This window comes from Homo sapiens, chromosome 18 (genome assembly GCF_000001405.40).
Source record: "Homo sapiens chromosome 18, GRCh38.p14 Primary Assembly".
Lineage (NCBI taxonomy): Eukaryota > Metazoa > Chordata > Mammalia > Primates > Hominidae > Homo > Homo sapiens.
Window position 1 is genome coordinate 24,161,987 of NC_000018.10, and position 17,747 is coordinate 24,179,733.

At 41.1% G+C, this 17,747-nt stretch overlaps 1 protein-coding gene and 1 pseudogene across 5 annotated transcripts in view; both read right to left on the minus strand.

Annotated features, from left to right (window-relative positions):
- OSBPL1A (oxysterol binding protein like 1A) overlaps nucleotides 59-17,747 on the minus strand; it is a 235,780-nt gene continuing 218,091 nt past the window's right edge. For 4 of the 5 annotated variants that reach the window (XM_017025530.2, NM_001242508.1, NM_018030.4 and 1 more), the window contains 8 exons: nucleotides 16,027-16,209; nucleotides 10,390-10,497; nucleotides 9,423-9,512; nucleotides 8,341-8,467; nucleotides 5,343-5,459; nucleotides 4,593-4,716; nucleotides 3,079-3,169; nucleotides 59-1,295 (listed from right to left, as the gene is read on the minus strand). In XM_017025530.2, the coding sequence (XP_016881019.1) occupies nucleotides 1,193-1,295; nucleotides 3,079-3,169; nucleotides 4,593-4,716; nucleotides 5,343-5,459; nucleotides 8,341-8,467; nucleotides 9,423-9,512; nucleotides 10,390-10,497; nucleotides 16,027-16,209 (943 nt within the window). In that variant the 3' untranslated portion in view covers nucleotides 59-1,192. The remainder of the gene's footprint in view (nucleotides 1,296-3,078; nucleotides 3,170-4,592; nucleotides 4,717-5,342; nucleotides 5,460-8,340; nucleotides 8,468-9,422; nucleotides 9,513-10,389; nucleotides 10,498-16,026; nucleotides 16,210-17,747) is intronic. The other variant, NM_080597.4, reaches the window with a different exon arrangement.
- On the minus strand, nucleotides 8,519-8,637 carry RNA5SP452 (RNA, 5S ribosomal pseudogene 452; annotated as a pseudogene).

Below are 17,747 nucleotides of genomic sequence, written 5' to 3' on the forward strand. Positions count from 1 at the left end.
TTTAGGATAGTATTAAGTGGCAACATTAGTATATTTGAAATTTTAAAAGAAACCACACTTTTGGGGAACATTCTAAAGCCTTTATTTAGCATCAGGTAGATTATTTCATTATAACACTTGTTAACTTCAAGACAGCAATTAAAATCACGGACTGGCAGCTACCTAGGCCCCTGGGAGCAGTATCTCAGTCTGGGGTTTGGGTGGATAAATACTATAAGATTTAAGATGAATGTGCCCCAATTAAAGGGGCAAAACTACTGTACAGTAGGTCTCCACACATATTTTAAGTACACAGGTACTTTGCAAACTTGAAATGCACAAGGCCTCCTTTTATATAGTTTGATACTTACATGAGTGCAACTTACTTTCCCTAGTGGCATTTGCCACTGGAAGTGGAAGCATTTAACAAGGTTTGTCATTATGTAATGGTGATTAAAATCTATATTTCTAGGGCATTTTTGTGAATTGCTAGATTTTATACATATTTTCAGTTCAAATGTAAACTTAACCATTTTAATGATACTGACTGCAGAAAACTGTAAAAGTAAATTCAGAGCACTAAGTAAATGAAATACTTTTCCAGTTTAATTCTTTAGAATTTTCAAATCAGAAATATCTATTCTGAATATTCAGGCATTTTTTTTCTTCTTGGAAGATGGAAGGGGTAACATTGGGAGGATTAGTATGAATAAAAGCCATCTTATCAATGAAGTCTTTATAAAATGACATAACCTCTATATCTGAGAATAAACATTGTATAGGAGGAGAGTTCTAAATATGTCAAAGGTTACATCTAAAACATTCAAGCATGACAGCATAAAAATATTCAAAATAACTTGATTTGGGATTACTATATAGTTCCATAAAGCTAAAGTTACATTTAGGTATAAACCTTCAGTAAATATGGCAACAGCAACCATAAAAAGCATATTCCCCAGCAGTGTTCTCTTACCTCTATATAAAATAGTATTCCAAATAAGTACATTTTATAGCAAAATTATGCATTTTTCCTAAGACTTTCATCACCAATATCGCCTTATACCCTGCTTTTGTTGGGTGAAATGCAGTTATCTCATGAGTGTTTTTTCATTTTTTTTTTTAAAAGATAAGTAGAAACCAAGGGAAAAAAATTTAAAAACATAGGTTTAAGACTTATTTGTAGATTAGCCAAACACCCTGACTTGTATGCATTTTAATAAATGTCAGGCAAATTGAAGTAATTTCTGTCCCAGTAGCTGCCAGAGTAAATCCAGTCCTGTGCTCCATTGTAGGGATTAGGACCTTGATGGAACCACCTGTTAAAAGAAAAAGGACAAGACTTACAGGGGAAACTATGGAAAATCACAGGCTGTTTCTTCACTAGTTTGCAGTATTATTCTATTGCAGCAACTCATTCTGTGAGTGAGGGATAGTTCTAAAGAGATGCTGAAGTGATGCTGTATTTCTGCTTAGGTAGGGAACAGGTCTGTGGAATAATATTCCAAAAGGGGTAATGATACCATGCAAAAGGCATATGGATTTCCCACCAGGATCTAGCAAGCTACTTGACAGAAGCAGGGTCTTCTAATAGGTTGGCTCGAAACAATGTATTTGTCTAACGGGTTTACCCTCTAGCCTGGGTCTTATTTTCCACAAGGCATTTTTTTAAGTAGTTGGGAATAAATTAGGATAAGGAAATTAACATTTACAGCATACCCACAGCAGTATGTAAGGCACCTGGTTCAGTGTAAATGCCCTTCAAACTCCTTTTTTTTTTTTTCTTTGAGAAGCAGTTTTGCTCTTGTTGCCCAGGCTGGAGTGCGATGGTGCACTCTCAGCTCACTGCAACCTCTGCCTCCCGGGTGAAAGCGATTCTCCTGCCTCAGCCTCCCGAGTAGCTGGGATTACAGGCATGCACCACCACACCCAGCTAATTTTGTATTTTTAGTAGAGACAGGGTTTCTCCATGTTGGTCAGGCTGGTCTCGAACTCCTGACCTCATGATCTGCCCACCTCGGCCTCCCAAAGTGCTGGGATTACAGGTGTGAGCCACCGCACCTGGCCTCAAACTCTTAAACTTCCATTTTACAGATGAGAAGCTGAATGTCCAAGCAGTTAAATAACTTGCCCAACCTAGTAACTGATGGCAAATTTAGGTTTAAGGTTAAAGACCATGATTTTTCTAATACACCATGCTACACATAATCCAAAAGACATGAATAGACATTTCTGAAGACATACAAATAGGCAACAGGATACGAGAAAATGTTCAACATCACTAATTATGAGGGAAACGTGAATAAAACCCACAAGATTATCGTCTTACACCAGTTAGGATGGCAATTATTAAAAAGAAAAACATGCTGGCAAGGATGCAAAAAAAGCAAGCTCATACACTCGTAGTGAAAATATAAATTAGTACAGCCATTATGGAAAACAGTATGGAGATTTTTGGTTTTTTTTTTTTTTTTTTTTTTTTTTGAGACGGAGTCTCGCTCTGTCGCCCAGGCTGGAGTGCAGTGGCGCAATCTCAGCTCACTGCAAGCTCTGCCTCCCGGGTTCACGCCATTCTCCTGCCTCAGCCTCCTGAATATCTGGGACTACAGGCGCCCGCCACCACGCCCAGCTAATTTTTTGTATTTTTAGTAGAGACGGGGTTTCACCATGTTAGCCAGGATGGTCTGGATCTCCTGACCTCATGATCCGCCCGCCTCGGCCTCCCAAAGTGCTGGGATTACAGACGTGAGCCACTGCACCCCGCCAGAGATTTCTTAAAAAAACTTAACTACCATAGGATCCGGCACTCCCACTACTGGGTATCCAAAGGAAAGGAAGTCAATGTATCAAAGGGATACCTGCATCCCCACGTTTATGACAGCACAATTCACAATAACAAAGATACGGAATCAACCTGTGTCCATCAATGGATGAATGGATAAAAGTCAGTGGAAATAACTTTTTTTCAGGCCTGGGACAACTCGGCAGGGTTTGTGTTAGATAGGCCCTTGCTCTGGGGTCACAGTGTCTGGCATCCCTGCCTCGTCTGCACACAGCAGCCTGCCTGAGGGCTCAGCCACACCCCCTGACTCAGGCACGCACCTCGTCTTCCAGTCCTCTTCTGACTTGGACCTGTTTTTGCGGGCTGCTCTTTGTTTTTCCTCAAGTCGTTTTTTTTCTTCACTAGCTTGATCTAAAATAAGAACATCAACACAAACCATTAACACTCTACACAGAGGATGCCAGGCACAGTATTAAGCACAAGAACTTCACAAAAGAACCATATCTACATGTTATCTCCCTTTTATTAGAACACAAATACCAGAATCAAATATCAAGCAAAAATTTTAACAGATACCTGGGCTAGTAAGAGGCAGAGCTGGTATCACAGACGCAGCATCTCTTTCACAGCCTATGCTCTTAACAACCTGGCCAAGAACAACGTGTTTATTCTTAAGGCCAAAACAACTGTGTTAAAATTCTTCAATGAAAACTTGGGTGCAAAAACTAAATAAATGTGAAATTATTCTGAATTCTTAGGAGACCTCACGGAGCTTCTTCAGATGCCATTCTTAAGGAATTTAAACTGTCTTCCAAAATACTGTTGCTGTGTCTCACTTTTTCTCCACTGTGGCACTATAACATGTTAGATGTGCTGGCTCTATCATAAGAGGCTGCCTAGTGTGGGAGAGGATGATTAGCAGCATCCATGGCCTGCAGACGCCAGCAGTCCCTCCTAAAAAGTGACAACCAAAGTCTTCAGACTTTGCTACATGTCTCCTTGGGGGGAAAAATGCCCCCCTTTTGAGAACCACTGAGTTGGAAGAAATTTAACACTATAAGATAAAAATGGGCTGGGTACAGTGGCTCAGCCTGTAATCCCAGCACTTTGGGAGTCTGAGGTGGGCGGATCACCTGAGGTCAGAAGGTCCAAGACCAACCTGGCCAACAGGGTGAAACCCCATTTCCACGAAAAATACAAAAATTAGCCGGGTGTGGTGGCACGTGCCTGTAGTCCCAGTTACTCAGGAGACTGAGGCACAAGAATAGCTCGAACCCAGGAGGTGGAGGTTGCAGTGAGCCGAGATTGCGCCACTGCACTCCAGCCTGGGAGACAGAGCAAGACTCTGTATAAAAAAAGAAAAAAATGTTGTAATACCCCATTTACCCTGATGTGATTATTACATATTACATGCCTGTATCAAAATATCCCACATACTACATAAGTATATACACCTACTTATACCAACACACAAAAACATGTAAGTTATACTTAACCAAGGGGAGGCCACACTCTCCTCTGAGGCTGACAAGGTGCTATGTAAATTCTGAAGTAGACAGTGACTTTATTAGTCGGAATATGCCTCTGGCCATCTCCAGTATATTAAATTCTCAGGGGAGTATTACCACAATAATATGAGCTAATAAGGTCTGCGCAGATTTCCAAATTTAAAATAAAAGTTACTGAATTTAAATTGAATGTTAACTCAAACTTAATCTCTAAGAGAGACTAAAAACGCTAGTACCCCAATGATGCTAACAATCACCAGGAATAAACAAAGCATCATCCCCCGAGAAATGAGTCTTCACTGGTGGCTTTGGCGGATGCTAGTTACCTATCTCTCCATTTTCCATGGCTCTGATGTCAGGCCGTAACCTGCAGTCTGTCTTGGGAATCACACTCTCCATGTCTTTGTCTACTTCATTCAAAACCATTGCAAAACTAGTAAAATTATACATCTGAAAAGAAGCAAAAGGAAGAAATTAAAATATGCCAAGGCATAATGCAAAATGAAACATCCTGAAAGTAGAAGAGGGTTGACTTGACAATGACCCCCTCCCTTTCATGGTAACAATGGTCAGTCTTTCTCAGATCACACGTATCTAAATGTTTTCACCAAAATCTGCACCATCTGTGGGTATCTCTCAAAAAAATCTCAAAGCAGGCTTTGCAGAATAAATATCCTCTATCATGATCAACTTTAAATAGAACTCTAAGCAAAAATCAACATTCTTTTATCTTCATTAAAATCATTCCTTGCTGGGTCTGGAGGGCTGGTACTGACTAGGCTGCACCAGCTTATATTTAATAAGGACCAGTTTTACCGCTAAGTAGCTACTAAAGAAGCCCCAGTGAAGTCCTAACCCAACACATCCTCCCAGCCAGATGCCAGAGGGATGGACAGCATGATGCACTTACGACGCGCTGAGCTCAGGCAAGAAGGGAGCACCCGGGAGCCAGTGGGGGCTCAGGATGCCAACCTGCCTGTCTCCATGCTGCCTGGGCCGACCCTACACGTGCCAGGAAAGAGCGCCACAATGCTAAACACAGACAGTGAGGCCACAGCCAGCAAGCCCAGTCTCACCTGGGCAGAATTTGGAGGCCGTGGGGCTATTCGCCATAGAAGAACGCTTCCAGGGATAATGAATACACTTTCAGAATCCGGCACTGGCATTTCATCCAACTCCTCAGAGGTGCTCATCTAGAAAAACCAATCAATGAACAAAATTTAAGTAGAAAGTTTTAAGATACAGTCAAGCACCACATAATGACATTTTCAGTCAACAACAGACTGTAAATATGATGGCAGTCCCCTAAGGTTATAGCGGAGCATGTATAGAAATCTGCTATATGGCATTTGATATTGGCACTGTGGATCAAGTAAGGGAAATGACCGATACTCAGTAACGGTGTTAGGACTTTTGGCTTTCCACATGAAAAAAGAGATATACATAAAAATACATACACGATCTTAGTTTGTGTAAGTACACTGTATGAGGTTCGCGCAATGATGAAATCACCTAATGATTTCTTAGAACATATCCCTGTCCTTAGGAAAATACATATACACTTACAAATTGTAAATCATCGTTTATTGCACACCACTAGAATGTAAACTACATGAGGGCAGGGACACTGTGACTTTCTAATTCTTATATCCTTACTTTGAACACAGTGTGGGAAGCCAACGGATACCTGCTGAATGCCCGAGTGGGTGCTAAGAGTCTCACAAGCTTCGTGTGTTGTGCCACTTAGTGTTATCCACATTTAAGTCATTATCATCATCACTCGTTCCTATAGGGTTTTATGTTTTTAAGGCTGTTTCCTTCTTAAAGACAAAATAATTCATTTGAGTATTTATTTTTAATATTTTTGAGATAGGGTCTTGCTCTGTTGCCCAGGCTGAAGTACAGTGGTGCAATCACAGCTCACTGTAACCTCAAACTCCTGGGTTCAAGCAATCCTCCTGCCTCAGCCTCCCAAAGCATCATTTGAGTATCTACTAAGGAACTACTGGAGGCCCAGCAACTGGGGTGCTAGAGAAGCACCATCACTACCTGACTTTCGTGGAGCTCACACACCAGAGAGGAACAATCTGAGAACAACAAAAGGTTACATTCTTGGGGAAGTCAACTAAATGTATCGATGCCACAAAACCAGGAGGGATCCTGAATGCATCTGATGAAAAGAGAATTTTTCATTAGATGAAATACAGGGAGCCAGCATTTCCTCGGGCTCCCCTCTCCGCGGCCCAGCTATGCTAGTGCTGTATGTATGCAGTCTTTATGCAGCAATCCCTCGAGGAGAGGTCACGACCGCTTTTTAGACATATGGAATGAAGGCTTTGGAAGGGTAAGTCATAGTCCCAGCATCACACAGTGAACAAATCTAGAACTACTGGCTGAGACACATTCAGTGAATATACAGTTTACAAAATAGCACAGAGGTGACAACGCTAATGACACAAACTTCCCGCAGCGTCTGTGTTCAGGAACGTCAGAAATCCATGGTAGGCAGATGACAGGAACACAGGAATGAGAGAGACCAGAAAAGCAGTGGATGTGTGAGAATACCTGCTCTCTCCAATGGGAAAAAAAAATACTTTTCACAGACTGACTGGGAATTTAGGGAATATAAGGAATGTTCTCTGGAATTTCAGCAACATTCTCAGCCATCCGCACTCTGTGAAGAGGTTGGAAGGCAAGCATGTTGGGGAGATCGTCTTTGTCAAGGTGCCTCCTATTAGCAGGAGCTGCCGCCAAGGAGTTTGTGCCGGGGGTCCCAGAATCCTGGACATGCCCTTCTCAGCCCCATCAGTTTCCTGCTGGCTGTAGAGCACAGTTGGTGCACAGTTCCCGTGGGCAGGAACATGGGATATAAAGAGGGAAGCAGAACTGTGCACACACAGCTAAAGGGAAACAAAGAAAGAAAGAAACAGTCCCAGCCACAGGAAAGCAGAATGCTCCGGCCGTTTAATAAACCTCTTTTCACTTTGGGAGCAAGGCTAACTCCGTCTACAAAGAAAGTCACTCATAAATACACCTTCTGCTTTTGAGGGATCTTAGGGCTTCCTGAACTTTCACATGCATAAGAAACGCTAAAGAGCCCCAGAGACTGGTCTTCGGTAGGTCTGAGGTGAAGCTGGGCCGCCTGCATTTCTAATGAGCTCGCAGATGATGCTCAAGATGCCAGTCCGAGGAAGTACTTTTGGCAGAAATGACTTTATCAGTCTTTACTATGAGCAGATACTATTCTGAGCCCATTATGTTTGTTAACTCATTTAACAAGTAGGTGCTATTATAGTGCCCGTGTTACAAATGGAGGCAGTGAGGCAGAGAGATGAGAAATCTCGGCTTGTACTGCTCATCACCGGTGGGGCTAAGATTCTAACCCAGAGTTTGTGCTCGGAACCATTGTCTTGGTTACTGGAAAGGAATCCGTCCTCAAATATTTCCTGTCCAAAGAGGTGCAGTCCTCGAGCATTTATGCCAGGAGGGAAGGGGCAGGAGTTTGCTAACCACTGGAGCCTGTTTGGGACCACGCGACAAGAAGCCACGTATGTGCCTCCCCTACTGGGATTTAACTATCCCACAAAGAAGAAAGTTTAGTAAGAGGAAAGCAGCCCAGGGATGACTCCTTTAACTACGACCATCTTAACTTCGGTAATTTCACGATAAGGAACAAGGCAACAAAACTGATGATAAGCATGAAAATGTCAGAGAGACTTTTGGAGGAAATTTTAAATCTTCAACAATTTCAACTTTCAATGCACATAAACAGGAGGAAAAGAAAATGTTTCATTAAGATGAACTCCAACATTCCAAAGCTATGTGAATTAAAGCAAAGCTCCACATATAACTGCTCCACAGTTAAAAAACTGATAGGTGTCCACATCCTATACAAGGCTATGCCGAGTACTTGTTAAAGCAAATGTCTGATCATTAAAAAGAGAAAAGTGACATGCATTAGCAACAAGGAAGAAGAAAGTTAAACTGTGACCCTAGAACAGGCCACCTCCAAAAGGATTAGTACACATTGAAGAATCCAGTTATTCCTTCGATACCACCTTACAGGATGTTCACCTGTTTGCTGTTCTTCTTCTCTTCTGTATTTTTCTTATCATTTTTTTTGTAAGCGTCAAACGTGGCAGGGTCAACACTGTATAAACATTCAGTCCACTTCCCATAGAGGGCACAGAGCTTCTTTTTGCTGTCAAGAAAAACTGATGTTTAGTTAACAAACCAGTGTTTGTTTTTTTAAAGCCGACAGCACCTGGTATTCCCAGGCGGTCTCCCATCCGAGTACTAACCAGGCCTGACCCTGCTTAGCTTCCAAGAGCAGATGAGATCAGGCGTGTTCAGGGTGGCATCGCCATAGACTGTTTTGCTGCAATTGAATATTACTATAAAGGTGTGTACGACTCACAGAGTCTCACTCTGTTACTCAGGCTGGAGTACAGAGGTATAATCATGGCTCACTGTAGCCTCAACCTCCTGGGCTCAAGGGTTCCTCCCACCTCAGCCTCCAGAGTAACTGGGTACACAGGCATGCGCCACTACGCCTGCCTAATTAAAAAGAAGTTTTTTTGTAGAGACAGGATCTCACTATGTTATCCAGGCTGGTCTCGAACTGGCTGCAAGCAATCCTCCCCACTCAGCCTCCCAAAGTGCTGGGAATACAGGCGTGAGCCACTGTGCTCAACCAAATCAGGTTCTTTAATGAAATAAACTTCCTTGTAGAAGAAAGATTCTTCAACTTATTAGAATGCTTGTTTCCTAGGTTATGGCAATTTTTTTTGTTTTTTTTTTTTTAGATGGAGTCTCGCTGTCACCTGGGCTGGAGTGTGGTGGTGCGATCTCGGCTCACTGCAACCTCCGCCTCCCAGGTTCAAGCAATTCTCCTGCCTCAGCCTCCCAATGGCTGGGATTACAGGTGTCCACCACCATGCCTGGCTAATTTTTTTGTATTTTTAGTAGAGATGGGGTTTTACTATGTTGGCCAGGCTGGTCTTGAACCTGACCTCGTGATCTGCCCACCTCAGCCTCCCAAAGTGCTGGGATTATAGGTGTGAGCCACTGTGCCCAGCCGACAATGTATTTTAATACCGACATTTTATCTAGTGAACAAAATCTATACTATTCAACATTTAAAAGAGAAATTTTACCTTTTATCTTGAATGTAGCCTTCAACTTTGTGTAATTCCTTACCAAAAAGGCCACATGGCTTAAAATTCAACACACATTTGTCCCCAGTCCTATAAAGAAAATACTAAGTTCAGATTATCATTTATTAGCAAAGCAGCAGTAGAGAAAAATAACTGTGATCACTTTTCTAGCAGCAGCTACTGTTTATGGATTTTCTCTGTGTGCCAGGCTCCATACTAAAGTGATAATGATTAATCCTCAATTGGTAATCTTCCCACCATAAAGAAAAGGTATGTGAGGGGCAGAAAGAATACATGACTTGCCTAAGGTCACAAAGTAGAATGGGAGCCCAGCTCTTTCTAGTAACTCCTATGCCCTGTCTCCCTGGCCCCCACTAAACAAAGGAAGCAAAATGAGCTGAGATTGGAATTAAGGTTCACAGAAGCTGGGTAAGCTGGGTTCACCCAGTCTTCCTTAATCAGAGACTTTAATGAACCCTCTTTATTAAATAAATGGGCTTCTAGTCATTCAAGAGTTAGTTATATTGCCTGATCCTTTTTTTTTTTTTTTGAGATGGAGTCTTGCTCTGTCATCCAGGCTAAAGTGCAGTGGCGCTATCTCGGCTCACTGCAACCTCCGCCTCCTGGGTTCAAGCAATTCTCCTGCCTCAGCCTCCTGAGTAGCTGGGATTACAGGCACCCGCCACCGTGCCCGGCTAATTTTTGTATTTTTAGTAGAGACGGGGTTTCACCATCTTGGCCAGGCTGGTCTCGAACTCCTGACCTCGTGATCCACCCGCCTCGGCCTCCCAAAGTGCTAGGATTACAGGCGTGAGCCACCGCGCCCAGATATATTGCATGATTCTTAAATTTTCATCAGCCTGTTCTAGAGCTTTTCTTTAAAAACAAACAAAACAAAAAAACTGATGTCCACTAAAACTGCTTGATGAAAACTGAAGGAATGGACGAAGTACCCAAGGTGCCTTACTTGTGGTTTATAATTTCCACATTGCCATACTGTTCGATCCACAGTTTACCCACAATGATATTATGCACACAGCAGGTGGGATTTGTCCATGTATATGCCTCATTGTGTCTAAAAAACAAAACCAAACCCAGAAGCATAAGTGAGAGGTATCACTTTGTTTAAAAAGTACACTTGTTCCAAATGCCATTACTCAGAATAACAAACCAGGCTGCTTGAGATAACTACGTTCTAAGCCTTTAAAAATTCTATTGATGTTAACTCACCATAAAATTGGGATCATTTGCCCATTCTTGTTTCTTAAAAGGGAGTAACAGCTTAAGAAAAAATTCTATACTTCCACCAAACTCCAAATAAACTACGTACATAATCATTTTAAGCATTCAAAAGTGTCATGAAACATTAAAAAAAGCTAAAGTAGAGACACAAAATAAAAAGTCTATTTAGCACTTTCTAGAGAAAGTACCCTCCAGCTCACCAAAGGAAAAAAACTCATCTATGTGAATAAACTCTGATTTTATAATCCTATATATCCAGAGGAATAGAAATCATTCTACCATAAAGATACATGCACGGGAATGTTCACTGCAGCACTGTTCACAACAGCAAAGACATGGAATCAACCTAAATGCCCATCAATGATAGATTGGATAAAGCAAACGTGGCACACATACACCATGGAATACTATGAAGCCATAAAAAAGAACAAGATCATGTCTTTTCTGGGAATATGGAGGAGCTGGAGTCCATTATTCTTAGCAAACTAACGCAGGAACAGAAAACCAAATACCACATGTTCTCATTTATAAGTGGGAGCTGAATGATGTGAACTCATGAACACAAAGAAGGGATGAATAGACACTGGGGCCTACCTCAGGATGGAGGTTTGGAGGAGGGAGAGGATCAGAAAAAATAAGTATTGGGTACTACGCTTAGTACCTGGGTGACGAAACAAACCCGCATGACAACAGTTTACCAACAGAACAAACCTGCACATGTACCCCCAAACCTAAAATAAAAGTTAAAAAAAAAGTTTTATTTTACTTTTTATTTTTTTTGAGACAGAGTCTCGCTGTGTCACCCAGGCTGGAATGCAGTGGCGTGATCTCGGCTCATTGCAACCTTCACCTCCCGGGTTCAAGTGATTCTCGGGCCTCAGCCTCCCGAGGAGCTGGGACTACAGGCACGTGCCACCATGCCCGGCTAATTTTTGTATTTTTAGTAGAGATGGGTTTTTGCCATATTGGCCAGGCTGGTCTCGAACTCCTGACCTCAGGTGATCCACCCGCCTTGGCCTCCCAAAGTGCTGGGATTACAGGCGTGAGCCACCGCTGCACCTTCATATATTTGTCCTTAGATATGTGTCTTTTAATTTACATAAGGTAAAATTCATTTTTGTTGGTACTCAGGTTTATGCTTGCACAGATCTGTGTAACCACCACCAACACAATCAGGATCCTAAACAACTCCTCCACCCACAAACACTTTGTTCATACTTCTCCTGGTAGTCAAACCTTTCTCCACTCCTAATCCCTGGATCTCCAACTCACTCCTTATCCCCAACAACTGATCTGTTCTCCATTGCAATAGTTTTTCCTTTTCCAGACGTCATATAAATGTAGATTACCTTTTGAGATTAGCATCTTCAATTTGTATAATGCACCTGAAATTCATCTGTGTTGTTCTACGTATCAGTCTTTGTGCTGAGTAGGATTCCGCTGTATGGATATGCCACAGTTTGTGTGACCATTCACCCACTGAAGGGCATGTGGGCTGTTTTCAGTTTTTGGTGATGATGAATAATGCTACTGTAAACATTTGTATACAGGTTTTGGGATGAACGTAAGTTTCCATTTCTCTAAGGCAAATACCTAGGTGTGATATTGCTGAGTCATGTGGTAAACATAAGGTTAACTGGATGAGAAACTGCCAAACTGTTCTCCAGGGTGGCTCTACCATTTTACATTCCAACACCAACAATACACAGGTTGAGCATTCCAAATTCAAAACTTGGACATCTGAAATGCTCCAAAGTCTGAAACTTTTTGAGCACTGACATGACACTCAAAGGAAATGGTCACTGGAGTATTTCAGATTTTGGAATTTTGGATTTGAGATGCTAAACCAGTAGGTATATTGCAAATATTACAAAATCTGAAAATATTCAAAATCCAAAACACTTTTGGTATATTTTAAAAAACGGATACTCAACCTGTATGAGATTTCTAGCTCCTCCACATCCTTGTCAGCACTTGGTATTGTCAATGTTTACAATTATTTTGATTTTAGACATTGTAATAGGTATAAATATAAATTGTAATAGGTATAAATAGGATAGCTCATTGTGGTTTTAACTCTGCAGTTCTCTAATAACTGATGCTGTTGAACATCTTTTTAAATTTTTATTTATTTTTTTTTAGAGATGAGGTCTTATTCTACTACCTAGGATGGAGTGCAGTGGTGGATCATAGCTCACTGCAGCCTCGAACTCCTCGGCTCAAGTGACCCTCCTGCCTTAGCTTCCCTAGTAGCTATGACTACAGGCATGTGTCCCCATGCCTGGCTAAATTTATTTTACTTTATTTTTTTAGAGACGGATTTTCACTATGTTGCCTAGGCTGGTCTTGAACTCTTGGCCTCAAGCAATCCTCCTGCCTCAGCCTCCTAAGTAACTGGAATTATAGGTGTGAGCCACTGCAATCAGCTGACTTCATGTGCTTATTTGCCATGTGTATGTATATATATATATATATATATATATATACACATATATATATATATATGAAGTATCTATTCATTTTTTATTGTTCTTTTTTGTTGTTGTTGTTCCAGAGACAGGGTTTCACTCTGTTGCCCAGGCTGGAATACAATGGCGCAATCATGGCTCACTGCAGCCTCGAACTCCTGGGCTTGAGAGATCCTCCCACCTGAGCCTCCCAAGCAACTGGGACTATAGGTGCATGTCACCAAACCTGGCTATTTTTAAAATCTTTTACTAGAGACAAGGATCCCACTATGTTGCCCAGGCTGGTCTCTAACTCCTGGGCTCAAGTGATCCTCCCACTTCAGCCTCCCAAAGTGCTGGGATTACAGGCATGAGTCACTGCGCCTGACCTTATCATTTCTTACTGTTGAGTTTTAAGAATTCTTTATATATTGTGGCTACAAGTCCTTTGTTGGCTATATGATTTGCAAATAATTTTTACTATTCTATAGTTTATCTTTTCATTCTCTGAACAGTATCTTTCGATATAAGGTTTTTAATTTAATAACATCTAATTTATCACTTTTTGTCTTTTATGGGTTATAATTTTGGTATCATATCCATAAGAGTTCTTTGCCTAATCCAAAGTTGTAAGAGTTTCTCCTATGTTTTCTTCCAAAACCCTTAGTTTTACATTTTACGTAAATGATCTATTTTGAGCTGATTTTTGTAAAAGGCGTGAGGTCTAGTTTGAGGTTCATTTTTTAACATATAGATGTCCAACTGTCTCCATAGCACAGATGGTTGTCTGTGGAAAGGACTATTCTTCTTAGCTGTATTGCCTTTGCAGCTTTGTCAAAAATCAACTGACCACATTTCTGCGGGTCAATTTCTGGATTCCCTTCCCCGTCGCATTAATCTATACTTTGTCTATAGTTTGGCCACCACCACACTGTCTTGATTACAACAGCTTTAGCATTAAGCCTTAAAATTGGGTAGTGGGAGTCCATCAATTCTGTTCTTCCTTTTCAAAATTATTTTGGCTGTTCTGTCATTTGCCTTTCCATACAAACTTAGAATTCGTAAGTTAGAATCAACTTCTCTGTATCTATTAAAAATCATCTTGGGATTTTGATTTGGACTGTGCTCATACAGACTGCTTATAGATCAGTGAGGGGTGAACTGACATCTTAACTATAATTGAGGCTTCCAAATATATCGAGACAGTGTGTCTCTGCATTACTGAGGTAATTCTTGATTACTTTCAACAGTATCTTGTAGTTTTCAACATACACATCCTTTACATATTTTGACATTTGCATTCTGCCATTGAGCCTATCCCAGTTATTATATTCTATTACTATATTTTTAGTACTAAAATTTCCAAAAATACTTCTATTTTTTTTTTTTGGCTAAAATGTCTTTTTCTATTTTAGTTTGTTGAGATTTTCCTGTTGCTTGGTATGCTGAATGATTTTGGATTGTATTCTGCACACCTGAATATTGTAAGACTCTGTCCTCTTAACCTCTTCTGGAGAATACTGATAAAAATTTTTTTTAGTAGGCAATTAACAGAGTTTCAGGCCAGAAGTCCTGACTCTCCTCCTGTGAGCTTTCATTCCAGTGTCAGTTTAATTTTCAAAGCCTCTGTAGTGCTGCTCAGATCCACCCCTCAATAGCCATCCAGGGACCTGGCTCTCAGGCCACACAGCATTTCAGATCCTGAGGCCCTTGTGTACCCTTCTGGGTCATTTCAATGCATGTGTGTAGGGATGAGCGTAGGAACTCATAATGCAGCTTCAGGGGACCCCTTTCTTGAGCTCCCTCCTCTTTGTGGTTTCCCCAACACTCTTAGACACCAGGGGGCGCTTTCTCTCCCCTCCGGCTGGCAAGCTGGGGTTTGAGCCTCTCTGCTCTGTCTTGTATCTCCCACAACTAGGTCTTCTTCTGGGGCAAAGGGGTAAAAGAAAAGAAAGAAAAACAAGTAACAGGAATTCTCTCACACTCTTTGAACCCCAGGGGTTCCTTTACTCAGTTTCTCTGGCCAAAGAGAAGGACTCTGAGGTACGTGTGTGATTGCCACAGCCACCATCGCAGCAGGAGTGTAGCTACAGACCCTAGTGCTTGCTTTGGGGCAAGGCTGTGAGACAAAATTAAAACAGGATTTCCCCTATTCTCTACTTCCTGCAAGGGTATCTTTCTAGGTCCTTTAATTAGAAAGAAAGAATTACTCTCAGAACTTTTTCGGTCGGCCTCTAATCCCCAGTTCTGCAATTTGCTGCTCTGATTCTGAGCCAGATTTGGGAGAAATATATAAAACCAGTAAACTCACTGCCATATTGGTGTTCAGGTTTTGATTTCTCTCCCCAGTCTGCCTGCTACTATCTACTTTTCAGAGTCTTTGGGTTGTTGCTTTGTCTTCTGTCCGGGGTATCTAGTTGTAATCAGTGTTAAAGAGATAGGGTATCGTATGCTTATTCTCTCCTAACTGGAATTAATTGTGGATTTAAAGCTAATCTTACAAAAGAAGAGAACTCCCAATTTATCTAACGCCTAACATGTGCCACACAATTGTCATTTCATTATTTCTCAGAGTGAATTCATTTTGAAAGATCTGTAAACAAAACATTGGCACAAGGATATAAAAAAGCATGTTTCATAAGAACTGTCATGAAGCAATTAACTCCATCGATCTTAAAATAGATCCAAACACCAGAGTCAAAAATCAAGTTAAACTATTTACACATACCCAGATTAATTAGCAATGGCTACTGCCATGTTTCTCAAATTCTTTTACATAGACGTAGACAGTTTGCACTGTATGAAAGCTGTTTCTTTTTCTCCAGCTTTTGAACAGTAAGGTCAGCTGAGTGTGCATGTCTACACTTACAGGCAGGTCTACATGAAAAGAGTGTAATGGCTTGATCAGAACTCACTCAAGGAGCTCCAAGGTGATGGTTCCTTTGGGTTCTGCTTCTACACTCTTCCCCCAGAATTTCAGTTTGGGATAGATAGAGCCATGAAAGATGAAGTCATTGTTTAATCCTTCAGCATGAAATGCACTGATTGGTGGGTGATGGCTGACCTGTTCGGAGATGAGTCTAAATCCAAGGTCATCTCTTAAGATTTAAAAAAAAAAAAAAAGAAAAAAAAAAGCAACATTATAATTAACTCTATCATTAAACATGTACATAATTGCCCTTTCAAAGTAAACAATTCTTTTGTTGTTGTTGTTGAGACAAAATCTTGCTCTGTCGCTCAGGCTGGAGCAGTGGCGTGATCTTGGCTCACTGCAACCCCTGCCTCCCAGGTTCAAGCACTTCTCCTCCCTCAGCCTCTCGACTAATTGGGATTACAGGCATGCACCACCACACCTGGCTAATTTTTGTATTTTTAGTAGAGACGGGGGTTTCATCATGTTGGCCAGGTTGGTTTCGAACTCCTGACCTCGTGATCAACCCACCTCAGCCTCCCAAAGTGCTGGGATTACAGGCATGAGCCACCATGCCCGGCCAACAATTCTTTATTCTCATTGCAATGAAACAACTTCATATATGAGAAATTATACAAATGCAACCCAAACCACCAAATCCAATGTTGTAATGCTAGCTACTTGAACAAATTAAAACAAAGAACACCCAGATGAATTTGAATGATTTGCATGAAAAAATATTAGTCATGTAAATTTAAAACACATCATTCCTTTTACATTAGAGAAATCTAGTGTGTCCACTTTCAAACATCTAGGGAATAAATGAGATCAAAACTTGTGCAGAGAAGAGGAGGAACGCATAGAAAAACTAAAGCCAAATAAAGTCCCTTAATCATATATAAACAAGACACAGGCTAGCTCAAGCAAACAGAACTGCACTTACAGATGCAGTCATTGGCTTCATGCAAACAATATATACTTATGCTAATATATTTTATTTATATTTTTTAATAAAGAGATATTTTTATAAGAGGGCCTCACTGTTGCCCAGGCTGGAGCGCAGTGGCTAATGATGGGTGCAAGCCCACCACTGACCAGCACAGGAGTTTTGACCTGCGTCCATTTCTGACCTCCCTCTCCTGGGAGGTCACCATATTCATGCCAAACTTAGTGCAGACACCTGGCCAGCATAGTGCACTACAGCCCAGAGCTCCTGGGCTCAAGAGATCCTGCTGCCTCAGCCTCTCAAGTAGCTGGGACTATAGGCCTGTGCCACCACAACCCAGCTAATAAACTTTAAATGATTATTTTTAGGAGATATACCTGAGGTTAAATGACGAGTTAATGGGTGCAGCACACCAACATGGCACATGTATAGATATGTAACTAACCTGCACATTGTGCACATGTACCCTAAAACTTAAAGTAAAAAAAAAAAACAAAACAAAACTCGATCATGTCTCATGATCTACATAAGGAAAAAAGGAGGGTGATTAATCCCATGTGATCAGGAATACAAAAATCTTTGCAATTATTTCTTATAATGGTACCTTTTATATATGTTTCAGTATTTTTGACAGTCTCTAAAATAATAGCTATCCTAGAAACAAACATCAAAATTGTTAACTTGCTCCAGTCCTATATAATTGTTATTCGTGATGACCAATATGTATGTATTTCTCCTCTTCATCTGCAACGCTGTATAAAGCATGCAAGTGAAAGGCC